This window comes from Homo sapiens, chromosome 3 (genome assembly GCF_000001405.40).
Source record: "Homo sapiens chromosome 3, GRCh38.p14 Primary Assembly".
In the NCBI taxonomy this organism is placed as follows: domain Eukaryota; kingdom Metazoa; phylum Chordata; class Mammalia; order Primates; family Hominidae; genus Homo; species Homo sapiens.
Window position 1 is genome coordinate 165,517,102 of NC_000003.12, and position 24,947 is coordinate 165,542,048.

Below are 24,947 nucleotides of genomic sequence, written 5' to 3' on the forward strand. Positions count from 1 at the left end.
ATGTAAATGACGAGTTAATGGGTGCAGCACCCCAACATGGCACATGTATACATATGTAACAAACCTGCACGTTGTGCACATGTACCCTAGAACTTAAAGTATAATAAAAAAAAAAGAAAAAAAAGAAAGACAGAAGTATTGTTCATCTTGTTTTCTTCCCTAATCACGTTACCTAGAACAGTGCCTATCAGATAGTAGGCACTCCACAAATATTTGTTGACTTAATGAACCAGTGGAAATAAATATTAATTCAGTTTTACATTACACAGCAAAATAGAAATCCAATATTTAATCCAGTTCATATTACAAAATAATACCTTCTTTTTAAAAATTAAATCCATTAAATTGACATAGAAAAATCTTCACCATCTCATGACTTTATAAAAACAAAATTGGTTTCTATACCACTTGGATTATTTCTACAAATTCTATTTATATGGTTTGTGTCAATAAACCATAGAAAATAAAATTTTCAAATAAAACTTATATATTTGTTATTTGATCTTGTTCTACTTATATGAATCTTTTATTTCATGCAAATAAAACCCAAAATATGATTCAGCAACTTTCAGTCTGTTTTTAGAGGCAGAGTCTTGATATTTCACCCAGGCTGGAGTGCAGTGTCACAATCATGGCTCACTTCAGGCTCAACCTCCTAGGCCCAAAAGATTTATTCACCTCAACCTCCTGAGTAGCTGGGATTACAGGTGTGCACCACCATGCCTGGATAAGTTTTATAGTTTTTGTAGACACAAGGTCTCGCTATACTGCCCAGGCTGGTCTGGAACTCCTGGACTCAACTAATCCTTCCACCTCAGCCTCCCAAAGTATTGGAATTACAGGTGTAATCCACCATGCTTGGCCAATTTTCATTCTTTAATGTTAGGCTTTGAGTTTAGTATCAAACTTTAAAACAAAAGCAACAACAACAAAAAACAAAAAACATTTCCAAAAAAGAAAAAAAGTACTGGTAGCAGTCAATAAAAGAAAAGACTCCAATTTCCAGGAATTTGGAATGTGGAATCCTGGCATTATAGAGATACAGCTTTTTCATCTAATTAATGTATAAAATAGTCAATACTTTCATTTTATTTTCTTGGAGTTTACTCCTTTTCACCCTGAAGCCTGGGTAACAAAGCAAGTGCACAAAAATCGTTAGAATAACACTTTTCAACAAGAAGCAGTCCCAAAGTAAGTGAAAGGAATTTCTTTAGTGATTTTCTCCCTGAGGGGGAGCAGTAGTCTGAAATCTCACTGGTATCTATTCTGAAAGAATCAGGGGATTTATTTATGTCATAATCTAGTATTTGCAGCCTGCTTTGATTTTCCTCGGGATTTCCTTGGATATATTTTACTGAGAGAAGTGTGAAAAGTACTTCTGATTTGAGAAGCATGAAAAGAAAGCCTCAGGCCAGGAGACCATCTTCTACTCTGAGTCATCCATTTGCCTGTTCTGAACAACCTCTACTATTGGCTCTTGCACAAAGATCTCCTGAGAGTAGTTGTTGGTAGACTCTAATTGCCTACTATTTTTAACTCATTCCCTTACTCCTTTGATAAGAGTTGAGAGCCCAAGACTTTAATGGATTTTGCACGTATGTCTTATTCTATTTACCTAATCATAATGCAATTTCACTTCAGCACAAACACAGCCATAGCAATCATGACTTAATTTTAATTCCTAACTCACTGTAAGTAAGCCAGCTTATGCTTTTACTAACCAATTTCCAATGCATATAAATAATAACACATATTTGGCATATCACAGTGCTTAGCTCTTTCTGATGAGCAAAAGATTATATATTTATTGGTGCTTATCTTGATGTTTCACAAGATTTTTCATTTATTTCTATACTGTTCCCTTAGGTTACTAGGTGCAGTCACTTTCCCTACCACCTGCTTTCCACTATCTGCTCCTTATCTTTTTCTTTAGAACCTTGCTTCACCTTCTTCCTCTATTTGTGACCGCTCTGCAGGTGATCAGGCTTCCTCCACTTTCCTTACCTTCTGATTGTCTCATACCATCTTCCATCATTTTCCACACATATTACTTGCTTTATACCATACTGTATTTGTAAAACACATAAAAGATTGCTAGTATTTTTATTTTATAGATGATGAAACTGAAGTATGAAAGATAAATGACTCACCAGAGGCTATGATTTGTGGGCCTTTTAGTGGGTTTAATAGGAGGAAAGCAAAGGTGAAATGCCAGAATAGCGAAGGTGGAGAAATTTGAGATGAGTGATAGAGACCTAAGAAAGTGGCAGTTAAAATGGTCCAGGGCATAAAATGATGTGAGGAATAGTAGAAAGAAAAGGAGAAAAATACCTTAAAATTGATGACTCTTCTGTCCTAATAACTTCAAAGTGCATTTCAATTTGAAACCTTTATCACCTCATTGCGTGGAGGAGACAAAGGAAAGAAAACATACAGAGCATTTGTCTCTTCCTGAAGTTTCCTCAATTCATAAAATCCCTAAGACACTAAGAGAAGAAAATACTGTGAACATGTTTAGTTTGATATTGGTTATTGTCATTTCTTTTCATTCCTTCAAATACATTTTATAAATTCAATTTCACATATTATTTAACCTCATCTACCTGACATGATATTGTTCTCCTGACACATCCTGTTTATTAAATATTAATCACATATTTTACTGGTTCCAAATTATGCTTTTATTATACTTGCTTATTTGCAGGCGGGGGCTGGGGAAAGGGGGAGTGACTTTCAATAGAATCGGGATCTCTAGTATGATCACCCGCATGATGACATCATCAACAGTAGACTTAAGAATCCTGTTGGCTCCACTTGCTCTAAATTTATCAGTTTCCTCTGGTTCTCTCTATCAGCCTTAAGGTTGGGTTCCTGTTCAATACTTTCTTTCTTTTTTTTTTTTTTCTTACTTGTAGGGCCAATGTGTAGAGCTGCCGACTTTCTTAATAATGCAAATCCAAGGGGTGCCCCTAGCATTCTGAAATACGCAAACTTCAAAAACATATCTAATAACCCTGCATCAGCTCCATATAACAGTTTTAATTAGGGCCCTTAGCAGGGCATACACTAATTACTGCAAAGAGCAAACAAAACTAAAATGAGTAATAAACAGAAAATTTATTTGATGAGTATCTACAATGGGGCAGGTTCAAGGTGTGTTATAAATGTTGTGAACTCAAAAGTGGATAGTAAAGAGCCAGCCCCACTCTCATGGAGCTTACATTTTAGTATGGGTAGGGGCCAATAATAATCAAATCAAACCAAATCAAACAAGATGTTGAAAAGTAATAAATGCTATGAAGAAAAATAAAATAGTATAATATCATAGAATAGAGAGACATGGACGCTGTTTTAGGGAAAAAATGTTACGGGTATATAAGCAGAAAAGCAGATACTCTGATAAGAGGATATATGAACTGAAATCTGAATGAAGCGAATTAAGTGAGCCTGCCATGTAAGAAGTAGGATTTTGGGACAGGGGAATAGCAAGTGCAAATATCCTGAGACAACAGTGTGCTGAGAGTGCTTAAGAAATAGCAAGGGGGCTCTGTGGCAGGGGTGAAGTGGGCAACAAGTAGAATGATAAGAAATGATGACACAGAGGAAGCCAGAGATAAGACCGAGTTCTGACATTCTTATAAGCCATAATAAGAATTTTATTCAATGTATGATAGGAAATCATTGAAAGATTTTAAGCAAGAGTAACACTATCTGATTTGCCATTTAGAAGTCATTAAGAGGTCAAGAAATTCTATAATTGCTGGTATGTTCAGAATAGACTGAGTGATACAATAGAGGAAGCAATGAGGCAAGTTAGGAGGCTACAGAAGTTGTCCAGGTTAGAAATGATGGTGTGACTTCAATGGTAGTGGAGGTAGGGAGAAGGGTGCAATAAGAACATATGCTTAAGGTAGCTCTTGTTACCTTTACTCTGACTGCTATTCACTGAGGGATTAGTTATGAGGTAGGAGAGAAAGAGGGATGAAATGTGATTGTAAGGTTCTAACCCTGAGCAACTAGATGAATGGTGATACCATTTTCTATGATGGGTAACATTGAAAGACGAAAGTTTGAAAGCAGATGATAATAGGAATCAATATATTATGCCTGGAGATGTTGAGTTGAGTTTGAGGTGCTTACAAGACAATTTAATTAGAGATAATTGTGGTTTGTAACAGGGAAAGAGGTACTTTTGCAATGTGCATGTGGTCACTTATCTGCTGACTCAACTTGCTGGTGTGAGGAAGCAGCTAACTCTCAGAAATTTAGGTAGTGTGAAAGAGAAGGCAAGTATCTAGTAGTAGAGACTATTTTCACTGTTTGAATTATTATGGATAGACTGACAGTGGGAATATTATTAAAATATGTGACAAGGAATTCCAGTCATAATTAAAGTAAATATTTTGCCAGAAATGATAACAAATACCTTTGCACAGAGTTCCCATTGGTCCCGAAACCTGAAGGTGCTGGCAGTGCCTTTAAGAGGCTATAGAATATGATCTGCTGTAGTTTTGCTGAGCTTGTTAAAAATAACCCTTGGCCAGACACATGCCATCCTTCAGAATTAAGTAGATCCCTCAGCACCTGCTTCCTGTACCCTGTCTTCTGTTACCATGTGCTTTCTCAGATACTAATGGGTTCTTGGCTTTTGCTTCTAGGTATAATTGTGATCTCTTCCCAGGAAAAAGGTAATGATCCTGGAACAAGATATATATGCCTGGTATATATTTATTATCTTACAATTGAGCTTTCATTACCAATAAGAGTTCTCTTACCTTGAGTCCTCACCCTGTGCTAAGCTCTTGCAAAACACATCCCAGATTTTATCTCATTTAATCCTGGCAACAGTGGTACAAGGCAAAACCTGGTATTATTCTCATTTTTTATTTAGAGAAATATAATTGTAAAGAAATTAAGTAAATTGTGCAAGGCCTCACAGTAAGTTGTAGGACAATAAAGACGCAACAGGTGCCATCTACCTCTAATGGCTGACCACTTACTATATTAAATTGTTCTTGTGAGCATGGGAGAATCTTGGGGAAACTATTATACAGACTGCTGGAGGTATGTGACTGGTTACTTTGAAATTGAACTCTAATGTGGTCCCAAGAATTTTTGAAATCTTGAAAGAGAGTAGAACTTCCAGTAACCCTTCAGATGTTTCAGAGAAAATATCAGGTTTCTGTTTTAAAATAGAGGTAATAAACACATTTTTAAGACAGGCTCTTTTATTCTAGAAAAATCTCTTGAGATATATAACTAAACAAATAAAAGACAGACTCCGATATCAGAAAAGCAATTACAGACCCTTCATTATAAGAAGTAAAAATTGCTCTATACAATAGTAGAAAATATGGTCACTGTGGTACATCTCTGCAGCCTGACATCTGATTTTTGTTGCTGTTAATAGAATGAGACTTGGCTGTTCTAAAAAACTACAGCTTGTCCTGTGGAGAACTGTGATTACTTCTGATGGAAAATGACAGGCTGAATGCCAGAAGGCAAAGCAACTGTTTTCCTAAGAGTCTTAAGACCCTGAAGGACTTGTGCCTCCTTTGGTGATCTAGGGGATAAAGAAGTGGAATGGAAATGGAGAGGAATAGCTGGAACAAAAAGGCAAAGAGGTATAATCTATCATAAATATGCCGCCTTTATAAGCATGTGTGTACCAAAAAAAAGCCACAAACCATATAAAGTGAGCCTATATTAGAAATAGAAGTATTTTATGAAATAATATATTTAAAATTTCCAGTAAACAGAATATAAATTTTTCCCAAATACCCATAATATATTTACAATATTAGAAAAAAATGCAAGCAGAATTTATGTAAATTATATTAATGGAATTAACGGAATAAAATTAGAAGTTAAAATTAAAAATAGCCAAAATTAATATTTGAAAATAAAAATATTTTGTTATTTGTGTTAAAGGGGAAATCAAAACTAAAATTAGATATTATTTAAAAATGAATCTTACTATATATCAAATCACATAATATCAAAATCATACTCTAAAGAAATTTTGTAGCCACAGATGTATATTTTTAGTCTGATAAATGAAATCTGCATTCACCTCAAGAAGCTAGCGAAACAACAAAACATTAAGAACTAAAATCAACATAATTTCTGGTCACTTTGTTAAATAAAATTGAAACCAGAATATTTCCTTGTACCTCTATTAAGTTAATACCAAGAACAAGCAAAAATAAAGCAATTACTTGTTCTAGAAAATATTTTCTCTTTGGAAATAAGACGAATAACCAGCTAAAATAGGTTTTTAATCAAAACTAACAAAAGTGTTGATCAATACTCATTTCAAGATCCTGGCTTCATGGTGCCCATCAATCCAAAACTACTTCCTAGACCCTGTTGAATCTCAACCAACTTCCCCCCTGTCAAGACTAGCTTTAAAATCACTCATGAAGGTATGAGATTCTAATAAACATCTCCCTTTCCCTCTGACTTCTCCTTCTTGAGACACTACACTTGTACTCTATTAAGGTGATAGTTTTTCTTCCTGCAATAGGTCACATAAACTTAGCTGTCTTCATCAATATTTCTGAAGGTATTTTGTGAAGTTAACAGCAATGGAAGAGAAATAAATCATAAATATTTGAAAACCAGTTATTTTAATAAAAAAAGAAGTGTCTTTTTTTTTAACAGAATTGCAAATAACATATGGAGATACTGTGCTCCCAGGAGGTGGAGATGAATTATTATCCTTTCTTCACACCTTCCCATTGAGATTGGGCTAGATTTGCTGATATTTTTCAAAAAAATAGTGCAGTGAAAAAAAAAAAGGTGCATTGTTTTAGTACAAGAAACTTGGCACATTCTACCTCAACCAAATGATGAAAGTTAACATCACAGATTCCATGTGGACATTACTACCTCCCTGGTATGATGTGATGAGAAAGGCATTTCCCTCTGTGGTATTATTTCAAATGACTGATAATTCTGGTCTAATCAGGAGAAAAACAACACAGATCCATTGGAGACTTTCAACAGGACACCTGCCCAGTATGCCTCAAGACTTTCAAGGTCATGAAAACCAGAAAGGAGAGATAAACAATCACAGATTAAGACATTGTGGAAATTGAACAATCAGAAGCAATGATGTAGCCTAGATTAAATCCTAAATCTGTAAGAGGACATTGATGGAAAAACTGGTGACATCCAAAGAAGTCTTGAATTTAGTTACAGTAATATCCTAAAAGAAAAAAAATTGAAATTGAAAGCAAAATAAAGTACTTCACAAATAAATGAGAAATACATCAGATAATTCAGATTATAAACAAAGAGAAAAAATCAATTAGTACTTAAACAGGGACATCCCCAAAGAATCAGAGTTTATTTTAAAATGGCTTTCTCAGGGATTTTATTCTAAATATTTTAAAACGTAAAGGAATTTTAAAATTTCTTTAAAAATACTTAAAAATACCAGAATTAATCAAGTATATTGGAAATGTCATAAAATCAGTAACTCTAGATTTAAATTAAAGGAATAAAAAAACTCTACCATTGGCAAATGGTAGATTATTTGATTAATACATAAAAAATATAAGCTACTCAAATAAATTATTTGAACTAGTTGAAGTTCTAACATACTCCAATAGTTTTCTTGTGATTCTTAGTAAGACAATATTAAGAAAAAAAATTCCTTCATGAGAAAACAACTACAAAATATGTATATTTATTCCAAACATAAAATACTTAAGTTTTTTTTGCAAAAAATACAAATCTTTATTGAAGAACTAAATAAAACATACCAAAACATAAGCATACCAAATGTGTGTCAAATAAATGTATACATCCAATAAAACTCTAATCATTGTGGCTTAAGCTAGTTATAACAAATACAAAAGAAAAAGAAAAGTGAAAAAAAGAAATGTACTCAACTCATTAAATAGATCTCAATTATTACATATAAAATGTTAAAATAAAATATATAATCAATAAAATGTTTTTATTTTCTTGAGAGACTCTTTTCTGTTCAAGATATGTGGCCTGGAAACAAAACAATGACAACTAAAACTACATATAATTAATTTAAAAGTAATTTATGGCTAACTACAGCCACAACAGTTACAAAAAGAATACCAACATAGTAAATGATGGCTTAATGGTCAATATGTATTAACAACACTAAATCAATGAGAACAATATCTAAACAACATGACAGAGCAATGGACAAAGGAAGTGAAGATAATTCACAGAGGAAGAAATAAATAAGAGCAAGAATCATGTAAAAATGTAAAACTACTTTGGTGATTATGAAATGTATCTGAAATAAATACAATTCAAAATTTCTCCAAAAAACTGCCTTTTTTACAAAAGGCAATGATTAGTGAATGTGGCAGTGTGGTGAAATATACACAGTTGATGGAAAGCAAATTGGAAGACAAACTACTTTAAGCTGTCAGTCAACATGTGAGTGTGCAAACACTTTGACTCAAAAATTCTGCTGGCAAATTCAAAGTTATACAAACTCCCCCATTTAGGTGTTCAGTATTTCATCATTTTTAGGAAAAAAAATACAGATGCCTTATATTTTATCAATAGGGGGATAATTTAATAAAGGAAAGGATATTTTCAATTTGGAGTAGCTGGCTGATATAAAAATGAGATGTACTTTTGTACAAGGATGCCCACGCTTCTGTGTTTGATGAATGGGGAAAAAAATAAAAGAGAGCAGTGTACAAGGTCAGGTTTCATTTTGTAAAAAGAAATACATTGTAATGTATTTTTATACCTGTATATACAGGCACAGATACATATATAAACATTTACATTTGCATGTGCAGAATGTATATTGTATATATTGATGTGCTGACAGATTACAAGTGTGTAAGAGCTTGGGAGATAGGTATGAAAAATGTACTTTTCACGTATATATTAATACTTCTGTATTACTGAATATTTTCAATGAACATTTACTTCTTTTAAGGCTACTTACTTCAAATTATAGCCAGTGTTAATAAAAGCTTGACACCCTCCATGCCCTGCCCCAATAAGGCTAGATGCTCTTGCTGTTATTATTCATCACTCTATACATGGCTGCTTTCTATGTAAGCATCCACTGTAAAATGCCAGGCATGTTGTGAACTCAAAATACCTTTAATGGCTAATTTAATGTAAAATAATTAATAAATGTTTGCCAATGACCTAAATAAAAAATAACAGGCAAAAGAAAGAATGAAAGTATAAACGTAATAAGGTAACAGTAGGTATATTAGTCCATTCTCATGCTGCTGTGAAGAAATACCCAAGACTGGGTAATTTATAAAGAAAAGAGGTTTAATTGACTTACAGTTCCAAGTGACTGGGGAAGCCACAGGACACCTAGAATCATGGTGGAAGGCACCTCTTCACAGGGTGGCAGGAGAGACAATGAATGCTGGCAGGGGAAATGCCAGATGCTGATAAAGCCATCAGAACTCACTCACTATCAGAACTCACTCACTGTCACCAGAACAGCATGGGGGAAACCATCCCGTGATTTAATTACCTCCCACCAGATCCCTCCCATGACACGTGGAGACTTTGGGAACTACAATTCAAGAAGAGATTTTGGTGAGACACAGCTGAATTATATCAGAGGGGAAAATAAAGAAAAATGAGTATGGCAAATTAGAAAGTTACAATCCTCTATAAAGAATTTAAAAAATAAAATGGAAAGCTAAACATCAAAATTTAGCTGAGTGGAAGTAATGACCATTAGACATTGATATAAATGATTCACTACTTTATGTCTGTTTTACAAACAAAATAAAACACAATCATGTACACCATTAGATACAACAAATTACCTTTGCTGTAAAATTGCTTAAGTAGTAACACATGTCATTCATTAAACTTCTTTAAGCATCAGGATTTCCTCCTAATACCATAAATGTATTTTGAGTAGAAGAAATGCTGTTTTGCTGAAAGAATTGAATTATCTGGTTTTCACAAAGTATCAACTAATTATATTTAATATGAAATCTGTTTTAAAAAATAGTATGTACTTTCTTTGGTTATCTTTATTGCTTTTCAATTAATACCTTTGAGTTGGCAAGAAGAGAAAGTGCCTGATGTGTTATATTTATTTGTTCTAAAGGTAATCATTGTTCAAAATATGTGAAGCTATTGTTCAGAACCAGGGTACTTAGAATGCATTAGAAACATTCATGCTGACATTAGAGAGGTGGTTTGCTCTCATTACTAAAATGTGTTACCTTAGCACATTGCTGTTTTCCAAAAAAAGTAGCCAAATTCATAAAGATCATAACCATAAAGGTTTCTGAAAATTTATGTTTAAGGGAGAAAAATGAAATGCTGGCTTTAGGAGTGGTGAATGTTTATTTTTAAATATTTAATAAGGTGGCTAATTTATGTCACTGTTAAGTTTTTGATGTGTATAAAATGTACCTTTAAAAATTTTTTCACTGATACTTAATATTTGTGTATATTTATGGAGTACATATGATATTTTATTATAGTCATAGAATGTATGCATGTATGGATATCCATCGCCTCCGCTACTTATCATTTCTATGTGTTGAGAATATTATCTCTTTTACTTCTGGTAGATTTTATTCAGCATCTTTAAATAATAAGCCATTTCTAAGTTAAAGTAAGAAACAACTTGATAGCTTTGTGCTTGTGTTCTTTTGGAATACTATGTTAATAGTACTAGGATATCCTTTGTAGAAGCTAGGGTAATTGGTGACTTTTGAAATATTTTATTAGTGCATCTCCTGATGTCCCACTCAGGTAGTTTTAGGGGTGAGCAAAGTTTACTTTACAGATCCAATCTGGTGAAGTACTTGTTTTTGTAAATAAAATCTTGTTAGAACACAAGTATGCCCATTCATTTATTTATTGTCTGTGCTGCATTTTTGCTAGATGTGAGTGTTTGCAACAGAGGCTCTGATTTGCACAGCCCCAGATATTTACTATTTGGTCATTTACAAAAATATTTACCAACTCCTGAAGGAACAAATTGATTCTTGTGTCTTGCCCCATCACTGTAACAAACCCCAAGACCACAGAGAGTACACATAGACTATAGCAGCATTTCTCATGCTTGAGAAATGTGAATATTCCCTTGGAAGGATGCAAAGTATTCTCCTCACCACCAGTAATGACTTAAGTTACTTTTATTATACAGTTTCTTAAATCCAAATAAATACATATTTAGGTATACACTCCTTATAGATTTAGCTTGTCCCAAAACATATTTAAAGTATTGCACACATAAAATTAACATTAAATGGATTTAATGGTAATGTTATTTTGCACAAACTAACTGTGTACTTGAGGCATAAAAATGGCACTACCTGATGTGACTACAGCCTTTTCAGTTTGGTACATGGCTCCTACTGCACTCCATGTGATTGAGTTCTCTCTCCATTTTTCTCCATTCAAATTTCCATGAGACCTCCTTGGGACAGAAAATGTTGAATTAATTGGATTTGGCTTGTTTAGTGAGCACATCATGAATGACGAAAGATCATATAACTGAAGTTCTTAAACAATTCATTTCAAACTGATATGCAGTGTGAGCACTGGAATCTCATGGAAGTTCTTGTTTATAATGACCACCCAGGTTATTTGACTTTAGCACATATGTATGCATATATAAATCTACATACATATGCACATACATACATTTATGTACATGCATACAATATTATTTAGATGGAGAGGGAAATTTAACTGTTCTCATTGGGAAATTGTAGGTTACCTGTATACATTGTCTTACCTCTATTCTGGTTACAAAACACTGACCTAGAACAAAGATAGAAATATTTTAAAAGTTAAAGAAGAGCAGGTTAATGGTCATTTAGGCAAGGATGAACGATGCTATAACATTGCTTAATGCTGGAAGAGGTTTCATTATAGACTATTATAATTTAAGTAGAAAGTTCAATCCAGGTTCCCTATTTCACACTCCTGTAAGCAACCTCATAATTTTAATGAAATAAGCACATTAATGTTCTATTCTGCATGATGTGAATTATGAAGGAATTAAACAGAATATAGAAGATAAATGTATAATATGCTATAAAACTCATAGCTAATCTAAATAATATCCAAAATTTACTACATCAAGTGGTTAGGTATTATAAAACTTTAAGTATTTGTATTAATAACTACCAAAACAAGTGGTTAAAACAAAATCAATACTTAAAAATTCTGAAGAAGTTTGGTTAGTTAGAGGAAATGATATAAGGTATAGGAATTTACTTAGTAAAGATACTTGTAATAATGAGCCATATAAAGTTTTGATTCCTACAATGACAAATCCATATATGGAAAAATGGGCCCAATCAATATATTTCTTTTAAAAATGAGACCTCAAGTTTTAACTTACATTTAGACATATTTTGATGCTTACTGAACACCTTTAGAGAGTACTTAGATAACTGCATTTATATCACTATAGAAATCTAATTTCATTTGCATTTTGAACTATCAAAAATTTCAAAATTATGATTCTTCTAGGTGATGCATCTCTGACTTGAACATGTTCCAGGTACCAACAGTCTAACCAACTGTTTTAGAACAGATCATGAAATTTGCCTGGGGTGACAATAAGTGAGAATGATGACTTGGACTCAATTCTAGATTACTTTTACTTTAGTTACTTCCAAAGCAGTAAATAAACAGAATAGCTGATATAAATAAGAAAGTAGGTGACTGACGTAAATAAGATAAGAAAGTAGGTGGGGGTTCCCTCATCGGTCAGGGTTCTCTAGGGGAACAAAAATAACTTGCCATGGTTAATACTGAGCGTCAACTTGATTGGATTGAACAATACAACGTATTGATCCTGGGTGTTTCTGTGAATGTGTTGCCAAAGGAGATTAACATTTGAGTCAGTGGGCTGGGAAAGACAGACCCACCCTTTATCTGGGTTGGCAAAATCTAGTCAGCTCCAGCATGGCTAGACTATAAGCAGGCAGAAAAATGTGAAAAAAGAGACTAGCCTAGCCTCCCAGGCTACATCTTTCTCCCGTGCTGGATACTTCCTGCCCTTGAACTTTGGACTCCAAGTTCTTCAGTGTTGGAACTTGGACTGGCTCTCCTTGCTCCTCAGCCTGCAGACAGCCTATTGTGGGGCTTTGTAGGTTTCCTATCAATTTCACTTCTAGGAACACTGTGATTAATTAGCCAATGCCAGAGCTCTACATGAGTCAGACTATTCTGATTGCTGCTTTGCCTCTGCTGTCCATTACAGTAGCTATGGCAACCCTGTCTTTGATGGTTGAGTATTGCCATTTGGCCCCTGCCACCTTGGGATCCAATTATTCCCATTGTATTTAAAATCTGTAGTCGAGTGACTGTGGTTCCCATGGTTAGATCTAACTTACAGAGAAGAACAATTACAGGGCTCTTCAAAGATGTGAGTGCTGCCCTCACAAATCTATTTCACAAGGCATTGGTCAAAGTTATATCTTCTGGACCCTCCCAGCTGGGATGAGTAAGTCTTAAGTGACTAATCCACTCCACTATCCCAATCTCCTTAAACCTTTGGTTCCCCTCCTCTACATTAAACCAAGGAAGATCAGGCATTTCCAGCTCACTCACAGTGGGCCATCTTTTAATCCATATTTTAGCTAACCAAGCAAATAAACTATTAGAACCTTTTTAAATTCCATGAGCTGCAAAGTTAAATACAGAGCCCAAATCAATAAATTCAGCCTGATTCAACTCTATGGTCCTTCCACCATTATCCCACACCCTTAATATTTATTCCCATGCCTGTTCTCCAGATTTCTGTTTCTACAAATTAGCAAACTCAAGCAGTTATTTTTGAGGGTGGTGTAACTCCTCATGGGTTACACTCTCAACCTCACCTCTAGGGGCCCGCCAGGACTTTAGTCTAGTTATAGGTCTAGAAGCAAACAGGGGTGTTGGGGGTGGCTCCTGAGGAGAATCAACGTTATCTTGCCTGGCAACTGCCTCAGGGGAGGTCATCACTGTTGCCTCAGGCAGCGCAGGGTTTATCTCCTCAGACAAAGGTGAAAAGGCTGATGGCAGCATGGGTCAGGGAGGGGATGTTGCCAATACTGGGGATGGGGAAGCTGCTTCTTCTAGCAAAAAAAGGTTCATCAGCGTTTACAAACTCAGTGTCCCCAGTTTCATCAGGGTCCTCCCACACATCTGCATGCCAAGTTGCAGGCTCCCATTCTTTTCCAATCAACGTACTCAGTTTAACAATGGACACTTGGCAAGGCTGTGCATGCGCCTTTCATTGCAGGTCAGCCACTCACATAAGAGCCTGTGTCTGTTTTTCCACAATTTCAGCTCTTTCTCTACACGAGATAAGACTCTCACTCAGGACAATCTTAGCAGATTTAACGCTCAGTGTCTGCTTCTGAAGCTGGGAGATAGAATCCCTGAGTTCATCATTTTCTTTCATCACTTTGTTTTTTTAGCAGCCAACCAGCTTCGTTATGTTCCTTGGTTCTCCACTATGGTCAAAGGTATTATGTATAGAGTCATTAAACTCCTTGCCTCTCATGAGCAATGAATCAGGACTGTCAAATGCATTTATCTTGCATAACTCTATAAACAGTTCACGCCAAGGACTATCAGTGTTCTCCATACGATTAGATGTAGAGTCCTTAGCATTTTTGTGTTTAATCATATTAAGCAGCCAACTCCAGAAACCCCAAAACCAATGAAGGAACTCTATCCTTAATATTCTGTTCCTCTAGAACCATTTCTGGTACCAAATTCTGGATTAGTCAGGGTTCTCTAGAGGGACAGAACTAATGGAGTCTGTCCATTATACGAGTTTATTAAGCATTAACTCACGGGATCACAAGGTCCCACAATAGGCTGTTTGCAGGCTGAGGAGTAAGGAGATCCAGGCCAGGTTAAAAAACTGAAGAACTTGGAGTCCAGTATTCAAGGAAGGGGAGGAAGTATCCAGCATGGGAGAAAGATGCAGGCTGGGAGTCTAGGCCAGTCTCTCTTTTCACTATTTTTCTGCCTGCTTATATTCTAGCCATGCTGGCAGCTGATTTGATTGTGCCCATCTAGATTAAGGGTGGGTCTGCCTTTCCCAGCCCACTGACTCAAATGATAATCTCCTTTGGCAACACCCTCACAGACACACCCAGGATCAATACTTTGTATCCTTCAATCTAAGCAAGTTGACAGTCAGGGTTAACCATCATAGGGGGCTATACATCTTTTCTCCTAGACTACATACTTTTCCTTTTGTATGCCATTAAGGTGCATCAAAGTTTGATGGTATTGTCAGACCATGAAGAATGGGAAGCTACTAAGTCTCAGTGTGAATCTACTGGCTCACTGTCTTTTGTACCCAATAGTCATCTCAGCACCCAGGAGCAACTTATACTATAGTAAAAGGCAACAGTCCATTACTCGGAACCTGAATGGGGATGCCATCTCTGCAATGCCTGGGAGGTTTCCTTTTATGCACACTTAGACATGGCTGGGCCTATCATACCAATAATATTCTGTTTCCCTAATTACCAGTACATGTAAAATTTTTTTTCTTGAAACAAAAGCAGAATACAGGTACAAGGAATAAGGAAAACAAGAAAGAAAAAAAAAGATACATTTTTTCCAATTAAAAGATTCCAAATTATTTTGACCCAAAAAAACACTTTAGATTATTATCCCATCATAAAATGCTCTGTAAGCTTTATGATTTTGAAGTGTTATTAATCTTCTCTACAACATACTCAGGAAATTTAGTATACAAATAGATTTTATCACAAATGCAATAATGACCACATTCACATCAAGAAATGCCATATGAACCCTATTTAATATGGTAGCAACTTTTACACTCTCCCTTCTTCTCAGAATAGACTGTGGCACATTTCAAAATAGATTCCCTTTAGTTCATGACTTGTTCAGTTGCAAATTCATGTAAGCTACAGAACCAGTTTGGCACCTGCTGTGATCATGAGTCTACTGCTGTTTCTCTAATCAGAAAACATTCCTATTAGATAAACCATCTGGCTTGAAAAGCATCCCTTTTGCATTCAAAATGATTTTGTTAGAATTCAGCCAAAGTATATTTTAAAAGGAAAGATGTGTCAGCAAGACCAGTCTGTTTACTAATGGAACGATCCTCTATTAAAATGCCATTTGTGGGATAAAAGCCATAAAATGAAAATATTATACAACATGAACATATTCTAGCTACATGTAAAAATGTGGGTAGTGCCAACCTTTGTCCAAGGCTATACATTGAAATCTGTTGAAATTTAGCTAGTCATGAGCATCATCAGATCAGAGCCAACTAAATAGCATGTTATTCTAATTGCAATGATTTCCATTGAAGTGTGATTATATAAATGTTGCTCTGAGACCATTAGTATTACCTGTGGGTAGTAGGGTACCACTTGGTTATCTACTGAGTAATGTTTATTCTTGTAGTTGTGAGTCACTTTTATTTATATTCATATTCTTCAAGCTATATATATTTTGTACATTTAGTCAAATAGCAATAACAATGTAATATAATTTTAAGAATAATTCATAGGAACACAAAGTATCTAGCCTTAGTATTTTTAGTAAATTTGGGGCAATATGATGATAAATATTTTATTTTCTAATCGGGCACAACTAGCAGGGAAAAAGGTGGTTGAAGCATGTTGACTCAAAGTTAATTAAAGCTTAATGGTCATTAGACAAAATGGATGCTGAAATAAATGTGGCTTGTTAATCTCTTCTCTTCAATTAACATGTTTATCAAAATTTTTTTTGTATGAACACACTTGCTAAAACTTTCTTAATTACATTTCGAAAACTAGAGACGTGATTCTTTCCTTCAAAGAGCTTTCCTCTATTTGAAGAAGCAAGACTAATATATAAAATACCTAGTAATGAAGGAGAACCTCTGAATTTTTGAGATTTGATTGATAATACCATAGAGATCAGAAAAAAATCCAAATAGATGACATAGGATTTAAGCATTGTTTTAGTTGACAAGTTATTGTTAGAAGAATAGTTGGCAAAAAGGCAAGATACTTGAGAGAACACAGAGAGAATAGCAGAAGTGTAGATTATGGGTAAAAAGATCTATATAGCATGCAATGGCATTTGCAGTTGGAAATGTCAAAGTTAAGGTATTGATAGCTATCCAGAGTTCTTGTAATGCGAGTCTAATAATTTAATACTTGCGTATATAAATCAATACTCTCATTGTTTTGGTTTTATTTTTTCAATTGGATTGTGAACTCATCCACCGGGCATATGTTGTACTTGAGTAATTTATCATGTCTCATATCTTGCAGTGTTCACAAGACATTTTCTGAAAGAAAGGACGTTTAAATGGGTACATAATAAATGCTAATTACATGATTGCCTTTTGTGATTAAAATACTGCTGTCATTTTCTGCTTAAAAATCCAAAATCTTTTTTATATTGGCAATGCCTGGAGGGAGGGAAGTAACTTTGTTGAATTAATGTAAAGTTTGATTATTGCTAAAATGAAAGAAATAATAAGAATAAAATTGGAGAATCCTAACAACCTACACAAATCATCTTTTTCATCCTCCTTTGTTATAATTTTCCTTTTTTGCTTGCTTTAAATTCCCACCATTGAAATAGCTCTTTTGGAAAGTACGGTGGATATGAAATTATTGCCTTCAGGAAGATACTATGAACACACTATGTATTATTTGGAACTGTTATGTATTATCTGGATCTAGAAATAGGTGCTAAAATACTTTGCCGTCACACTACTAACAAGGACTTTTTCATCAGATTTGGTAGCTAACAACTTTGAAAGCAGAGAGGAGAGTTTTGTTCTGAAAGAAAATGTTGAAATACAGTCAAATTTCAGTAGGAAGGGGAAAAAACCCATTATCTATTTCTAGGACTTGGGAAAAAGCACCATAATAATCAAACATACAGAAAGACAAACTATATCAAAACATATCTACCTGCATATTCTATGTGTGTGTGTGTGTGTGTGTGTGTGTGTGTGTGTGTGTGAGAGAGAGAGAGAGAAAGGGTATATGTATGCTTACATGCAGGTGTGTGAATGTGTGTATAAGTACACACTGGTATGTGTTATGTAGAAGTTTTGTCGCTTATAAATAAAACAGAAAAAGTAAAAAAAAAAACCTGAAATAATGAATAATTATTTAATCTCAATTTAAGCATTTTCTACCAAGGAGTACTCAATAAAATTATTTAACAAGAAAAACCTATTTTTGATAAACATTTAGATTAATAGAACTGATATATACCATTTATTTATCATTTATATATTCCAGGTACTGTGACAAATGTTTTCACATTCACAGTTTATAATTTATTTCTCACTTACTCTTACATGGCTTTTATAGACAAAAAAAACCTGCCACACGAAGCTCCAGTAGCTTCCACAATGCCATAGAACAGGACCTATGAATTCCATCATTATGTATCCCAGATGCACATTGATGCAAGTCAATAAACAAAGGAGGAAATGAGTGATACTCCCAGTATTGTTTTTATTGTGGTGGTTCGTATTTCCAGAACTAGCAGTGTTTCAGATCCTGATCCTCATAAGGTTATGCTGAACAAGTGTTTCCACTTCAAGGATGAGAATCCAGTTTGATGCACGACTTCATGAAAGATTTCAATAAACTCAGAAGTATGGACCTAGCTCACTGCTATTAATTAGAGCCATTCAAGCTTCAGGGACTAGCTAAATTTATATTTACTCCATCTCTTTTTGACATAATCAGAAAGATCCAACAGTAAGTTTCTGATCATGCCAAAAAGAAATAAACTGTATATTAAATTTTTCGTAAATGAACAATTGAATAATGGTATGTTTTAACCATGGTTATATATTTGTGTGTTCTTTTAGTAGAGTAGTACCACAGTGTCTGGTATTGACACCTGATTTTGAATCCCAGCTCTGTCACTTACTAGCTGTGGGACCTAAGATAAGTCACTTAACTTCTCCATGCCTTGGTTTTCTAATCAGGGGTTGGTTTCAGAATTAAATCTATTAGAACAGTGCCTGAAACATAGTAAGCACTATCATTAGCTGCTATTATTGTGGCATTTATGTAGATATTCTTAAATAATGAGATAGATAGATATGCTGCTTATTTTAAATTACTGACTTTTAACTGTGAAAAGGTGACATCAGATGAAGAATGGAGAAAAAGTATTTCCTCTATCTAAACATCTCTGGAAATTCTAGGTCCTTTCCTTCCTCCACCTATTCTGCCCACATTGAGATGATGCATATTGCCTCCTAGTTGAGAATTATTAAGTTCTGTTGAAATAACTTACTTACAGAACTGTTTTGTGAATGTGAATGGTGTGGTGGCTGAAAATGGTTGGGAAGCATTGATTGAAGTGTTAGGGCACATGATCTTAATTGCCTGAATAATAGCTTTAATTTCACTCTGCTTTTGTGACACAAGCATTGAACCTAGATGTAGAATGTAAACCTATCCATAGTGAGTGTAATATCCACTCCAAGTGACCTTGAAATGAATCTCTAAGTCAGATACTGTTTGCATAGCAAAGTGCAAGAAAAAAAATATGCCTGTCTCAAGGAACAGGTATATTCTCTCGGTTCTTGGGGGTTTATTTATTTTTGTGGGTTTCTTATTATTTGTTTTTGTTTTTTCTCTGTCACTAGAATATAAACTCAATGAGAATGAGAATTTTTTAATGTTTATTCACTACCTAGAATAGAGTCTGGCATATGTAGTTATTTCAATAAATATTCACTGAATGAATAAATGAAGTACTTTTTCACACCTTGAAACAAAACATTATATTGTGATAACATTAAACAAGGTCCTAGTATATATTTGTTGTTTCAATTTTATAAACATCAGTTGTACTTCTCCATTAACATGACACTTATAGTATTTTTATTTTTTCAATTTTAGTTGGCAAAATTGGTCCTGCAACAAATTATTTTATAGATATTCTTTTACTACATCTTGATAACTTGCAGATATTCCCACAGTATCAGAAACTGAAAAGTATGTTTTTCACTGTGTGGTTACATTTAAATTGTCCACATTAACCACCATGAGGAAAATAAGCTTTTAGAAAATTTTTCTTCTTTTAGCCAACAAATTCCTAAAGGTAGTAGTTGATATATTTTGCAGTGTTGAGTTAACTTGTCAAGAACACAAATTACAAACTGATTTGTGCTTTCTTGATAATCTTAATGTAGTTAGGCATAATGCATGAATATGTAATAGTGTGCGGTCGAAGGAAGATGATGGGTTGAAGGGAACTGGGGACTTCTCTAATTTTCTCTCCAGGCAGTGTTTATCACAAATATTTCCAAACAAATGGCCTTCTTTATTTGCTAGCTTGGTGAAATTCTTGCCTACAGTTTCATAGAGTATGGCATTGTCAACTTCCTGGAAATATCTGTCCACCATAAACTATTTCCACATATTTTTAAGTTTGAAACCACCATTACAAGTTGTTGCTCTCTTTTACATTCATAAGGGTTTAATTTTTGGATTTTTTTTCATTATAATTCCAGTTAGAAATAGCCTAGAGTCTGTGTGTTGTTTATTCATACCAAATAGTTGGATTTACATACATGAGTTATGTTTGTTATTTCTTTCAACCAGTACCTTCGGATCTTCCTCCAATATTAATTTTAGCTTCTAAAAATATATTTTTTAACTTTCTATTTTCTTTGTGACTCTGTTAGTCAATCAGACCATCCATGTTTACCCATTTCTTCAGTACCTTAAACATGAGAGGGATTATTTATTTTCCTTATACTCCCTCTCTTTTTTTATTTTCCTCACCTGACACTTTCAATTTACCAGGAAAACATGAAATGGATTTATTTTTAAATCCGTTCACTTCTCTTTCTCTCCAAAGCACTTGGATTGCTGCATAAACTGCTAAAAGACTCTCCTCTTCTCACTTAAGTCCTCTACATGATTTATTCTTTCAGAAGTGAATGTTTAGAAGAAAAGTAAATTCTATCAGGCTGCAACGAAGCACCATATTGTAACATAGCATGTCACGGCCCTTAGTCCATGCTCCGTGTTGGAACCATCAAGGACTATGGAAACTGACTCCACCAACTTATTTAACATTGGTTTTCGTTTTGTCTTCTGCTATTCCAAGGTCATTTTCAACTTAAGGCCTTTTACTTCCTTCCACTTTGCCCAGTTCTGGCTGGCTGCCTTCTCATGATTAGGTTTTTGCTCATGTATCACCTCCTTAGAAATAATAGTTCTTAACTTTCTATTTAAAATATTATCTTGCCATGTCATTTTCCTCAACAGACAACTCTTTTCCTCTTATTTATGTTTAACAACACTCTGAGTTTGTATACCCTCTTCGCATAGCTACATGTTTCAGAGGATGTGAGCTCAATCCCCATTAGTCTAAATCTGATGCACTTCATTATTCATAAGTCTAACCCTGAAGTTTTCAACCAGTGCAAGAGCTCCACACACAGAAATTCTGGTATAGATCTGAAGTTTTAAAATTTTTAGAAACTTCTAATTTTCTAAAACAGTTTTTTTTTGTTTTGTTTTTGTTTTTTTTGTTTGTTTGTTTGTTTTTTTCTTCAATAAGATCTCATTCTGTCACTCGGGCTGGAGTACCAGGGTGCAATCATGGCTCACTGCAGCTTTGACCTCCCTGTGTTCAAGTGATCTTTCCACCTCAGCCTCCCAAGGAGCTGGGGCTACAGGTGGGCACCACCACACCAGCTCATTTTTTTTTTTTTAATTTTTTATAGAGACTGGGTTTCACTATGTTGCTCATGCTGGTGTCAAACTCCTGGGCTCAAGCCATCTGCCCACCTCGGCCTTCCAATTTCTGGGATTACAGGTGTGAGCCACCACATCCAGCTCAGTTACAGTGCTTTGAATAAACTTTGAGTGATGTGGTATAAAAATGGGCATGGGTTGTCCTTTGGTAAATGAGACATGAAAGAAAGATTGCTGATGAGATTCTGAGAAATGTTCTTTGTCTTAAAAGGTGAGGATGGGGAGGTGTCAAACAAGACCTAACCTCTCAACAATCAGCTGGACACTGTTGTGTAAGAATGTGAAGCTTGGCACTGCTGCAGCCATCTTGTTCCAGGAAGGGTAAAACCTGAGGTTAGAAGCCAACATCCTAATGATGGCAGAGAAGACAAAGAGAACCAGAGTCTAAATGACATTGTTGAGTTAGATCACTACACTACCTCTAGTCTTCTTTTTATGTGTGATAATAAATCTCACTTATACTTAAGCCATTTGAAGTTGAGTCTAATGTTCATTTCAGACCAAAGCAGCTTAACTGACATGTTCTCCGCTTTGTTACCCTATCCAGTTGTTTTCATGCAGGAAATAAATCTCAAATTACCTCATTTATGAATTTGCCTGTTTTTGTCTTTCCCTACTTTAAAAAAAAACATCTATTTTATATTTATTCTGACTTGATGCCTAGAATGGTGTTTATCACATAGCAGATAGTGAATATATAAAGGTAAATGTAGAGTACATTAAAACAGTCAAATTTATCTCCTTAGTATCTAAAGGTAAACTTTCTATGCTCACTTACTATCAAAACTTTAATTTATTAGCTCTTTCCAGGAACACTTTAATATTCTTTATTAAAATATCTCTTTCTACAGTTTCATACTCCACCAATGCATCTTCCACATTGCTGATAAAGCAGCAAAGATCTTGCTTAAAATTTTTCCGTAGCGCCCATCGTATGTAAAAAAAAAGTCTTCAAATGCTATGGCATGACAGACATCAGGCATCTATCTGCTCATCCAGCTTGCCTGTTTCCAGTCTGTACTGCAGTCATACCAAAGGTCTCAAGTCTCTCTCAAAACACTGTGTGTAGTAGGTAGACTAAAATGGCTCACAAGATGCCTACCCCTTTCTGTGCACATGCTGCATAATTTCCTTCCCTTGAATGCGAGTTGTCTTGACTCAATCAAGTGAGTCCTTTGGAAAGAGGATGCGAAGGTCAGAGATGAAAGAAGCTTGAGATACTCCAAGCTGCACCAGATGCCTTCTTGGCCACAGAAGACTTCACTCTATAACCACAAGTCACTGAATTCATCAAACAATCTAAATAATTTTGGAAGCAGATCCTAAACTCCAGATAAGAACACCAGCCAGGCTGATACTTTACTGTATTTTTGTGAGATACCAAGGAGACACTGCAGCTGAGATATACCCAAAATTCTGACCTGCACAACTATGAGATAATATGAGTGTTTTTTTAAGCTGCTAGGTTTGTGACCATTTGCTATGCAACCATAGAACACTAATGCATAATGCTTTCTCAATTCTCCTTGCCTTTCATTTGTTATTTCTTCTCATTTCAGCTCATGTCTTCCCATCCTTTCGCCCATCCTTCAAGATCCAGCTCATGCATTACCTCCTTCAGAAATCCTTCCACTGCAAAACACTTCTTCTAACCCTAGATAGTTTCCTTCCCCCGTGCCTTATTCTCCCTCTCAATGTTTTTCATTGTTCTGACATTTCCACTTTCATATACCAATAGGAATATTAGAGTAGGAGGAATAGTCTCATCTTGAACTGAAACTATGACCCCTCTCTTGGAAGAATCAATATCATACTGGAATCAGATTATCAGGAGTCTCCTGATCAAGACATAACCCAAATATCCCAAAGTCATTTGATTGACCCAATATCAATGCCGCAGGTTTTTGTAAGATTGTCCTATTAATGTTACTATTATTCAGATATCTCCCCACATTAACCCTCAATTGGTTAATGAGTAAGTCCAAAGTTGACAGAAGACACAGAAGTTGATAACAAAATAAATTTTAAGAATTAACTTCTGGTTTACAATGGCATAATAATAACATTTCTGTGGTCTTTGCCTCTTCTCTCTGAAATCATTCCAAAACAACGAGAGAATTGTAAAAGAAGAGATGAAAGCACAGCTCTATCTTTGGTGAAACTAAAAACTACCTGTAGCTCTAAAAAATAGACAAATGAGGCCTGCTAAGACTAGCGAAAATAATATGATGCAAGGAAATGCTGAGAAAAGAAATCTACAGCTGTACCATAAAATAACGCTGGCATGGAGAATTCTTTAAGGTAGTTTGCCATCCTGAGGGATAAAATTGTAACTTCGGAATAAATCTCCAGAATGGTAGGATAGCTGATAGGAGCTTTTCTGGACCATTTTTAGCGTCACAGAGAAGCAAGGAGATGAGACTGCAGCAGACAGCACACGGACATGCAGAATATGCCGAAAGCATTCTGTCGTTATGGCCAGATAAAGGCGAGCCTCAGATCTGTAACAGCCCTGACACTGATGATTTCTTTCAGCTGGAAGAAGTAAAAGCTCCATCACTTTATATTTCTTTCTAGGAGTGTATGTGTGCACGTTTCTGTTTCTGTGTAAATCTTATATACACGCACATTGTTAATGATAAATAACAATGGAGACCACAGTTGAGACATATCTCAAGGCCAACTGCCTATAGCTATATAGTCAAAGCTTAAGTTATCCTGATTTTCCTGAAACCCTAGCTCTCATCATAAACCAAGAAGCCATAAACTTTATGTTCTTGTCAGCATGATTCAGTGAAATTGAACCGATCAACTATAGATCTATCAACTTAAACAGCTCAGTTTGCCTTAAAATAAATGTTCATGTATAACAGCCAATCTTAAAAAAATGCCAAATTCCTTTTTCTGAGCTTTATAAGCTGTGCCATAGTTATTGTAAGGTGAGCTTTTTAACCACTTAGTTTGGGAAATCCCAGTTTGAAAACTATTGTTTTATAATCAAAATAAGCTTGTACATTTTTAAAATTTGACTTGATGTATTTTTTGACAACACACACACAAACCTAAAACCTTGTGTTGTGAGAAATTTCTTTATAAACGAGGAAGATATCCTGGCTGTCTGTAAACTGTTCTCACTTTTAAACCGTGGAAAATCTCTACCAAGAGATGATGGCAAAAGTAGAACTTCTCTCATTC

The 24,947-nt window shown here is 34.9% G+C and overlaps 1 long non-coding RNA gene across 4 annotated transcripts in view; it reads left to right on the plus strand.

Annotated features, from left to right (window-relative positions):
* LINC01322 (long intergenic non-protein coding RNA 1322) overlaps positions 1-22,336 on the plus strand; it is a 332,490-nt gene extending 310,154 nt beyond the window's left edge. For all 4 annotated transcript variants that reach the window (NR_174101.1, NR_174100.1, NR_174098.1 and 1 more), the window contains one exon: positions 21,964-22,336. This is a non-coding gene — a long non-coding RNA (long intergenic non-protein coding RNA 1322). The remainder of the gene's footprint in view (positions 1-21,963) is intronic.
* The last annotated feature ends 2,611 nt before the right edge of the window (positions 22,337-24,947 follow it).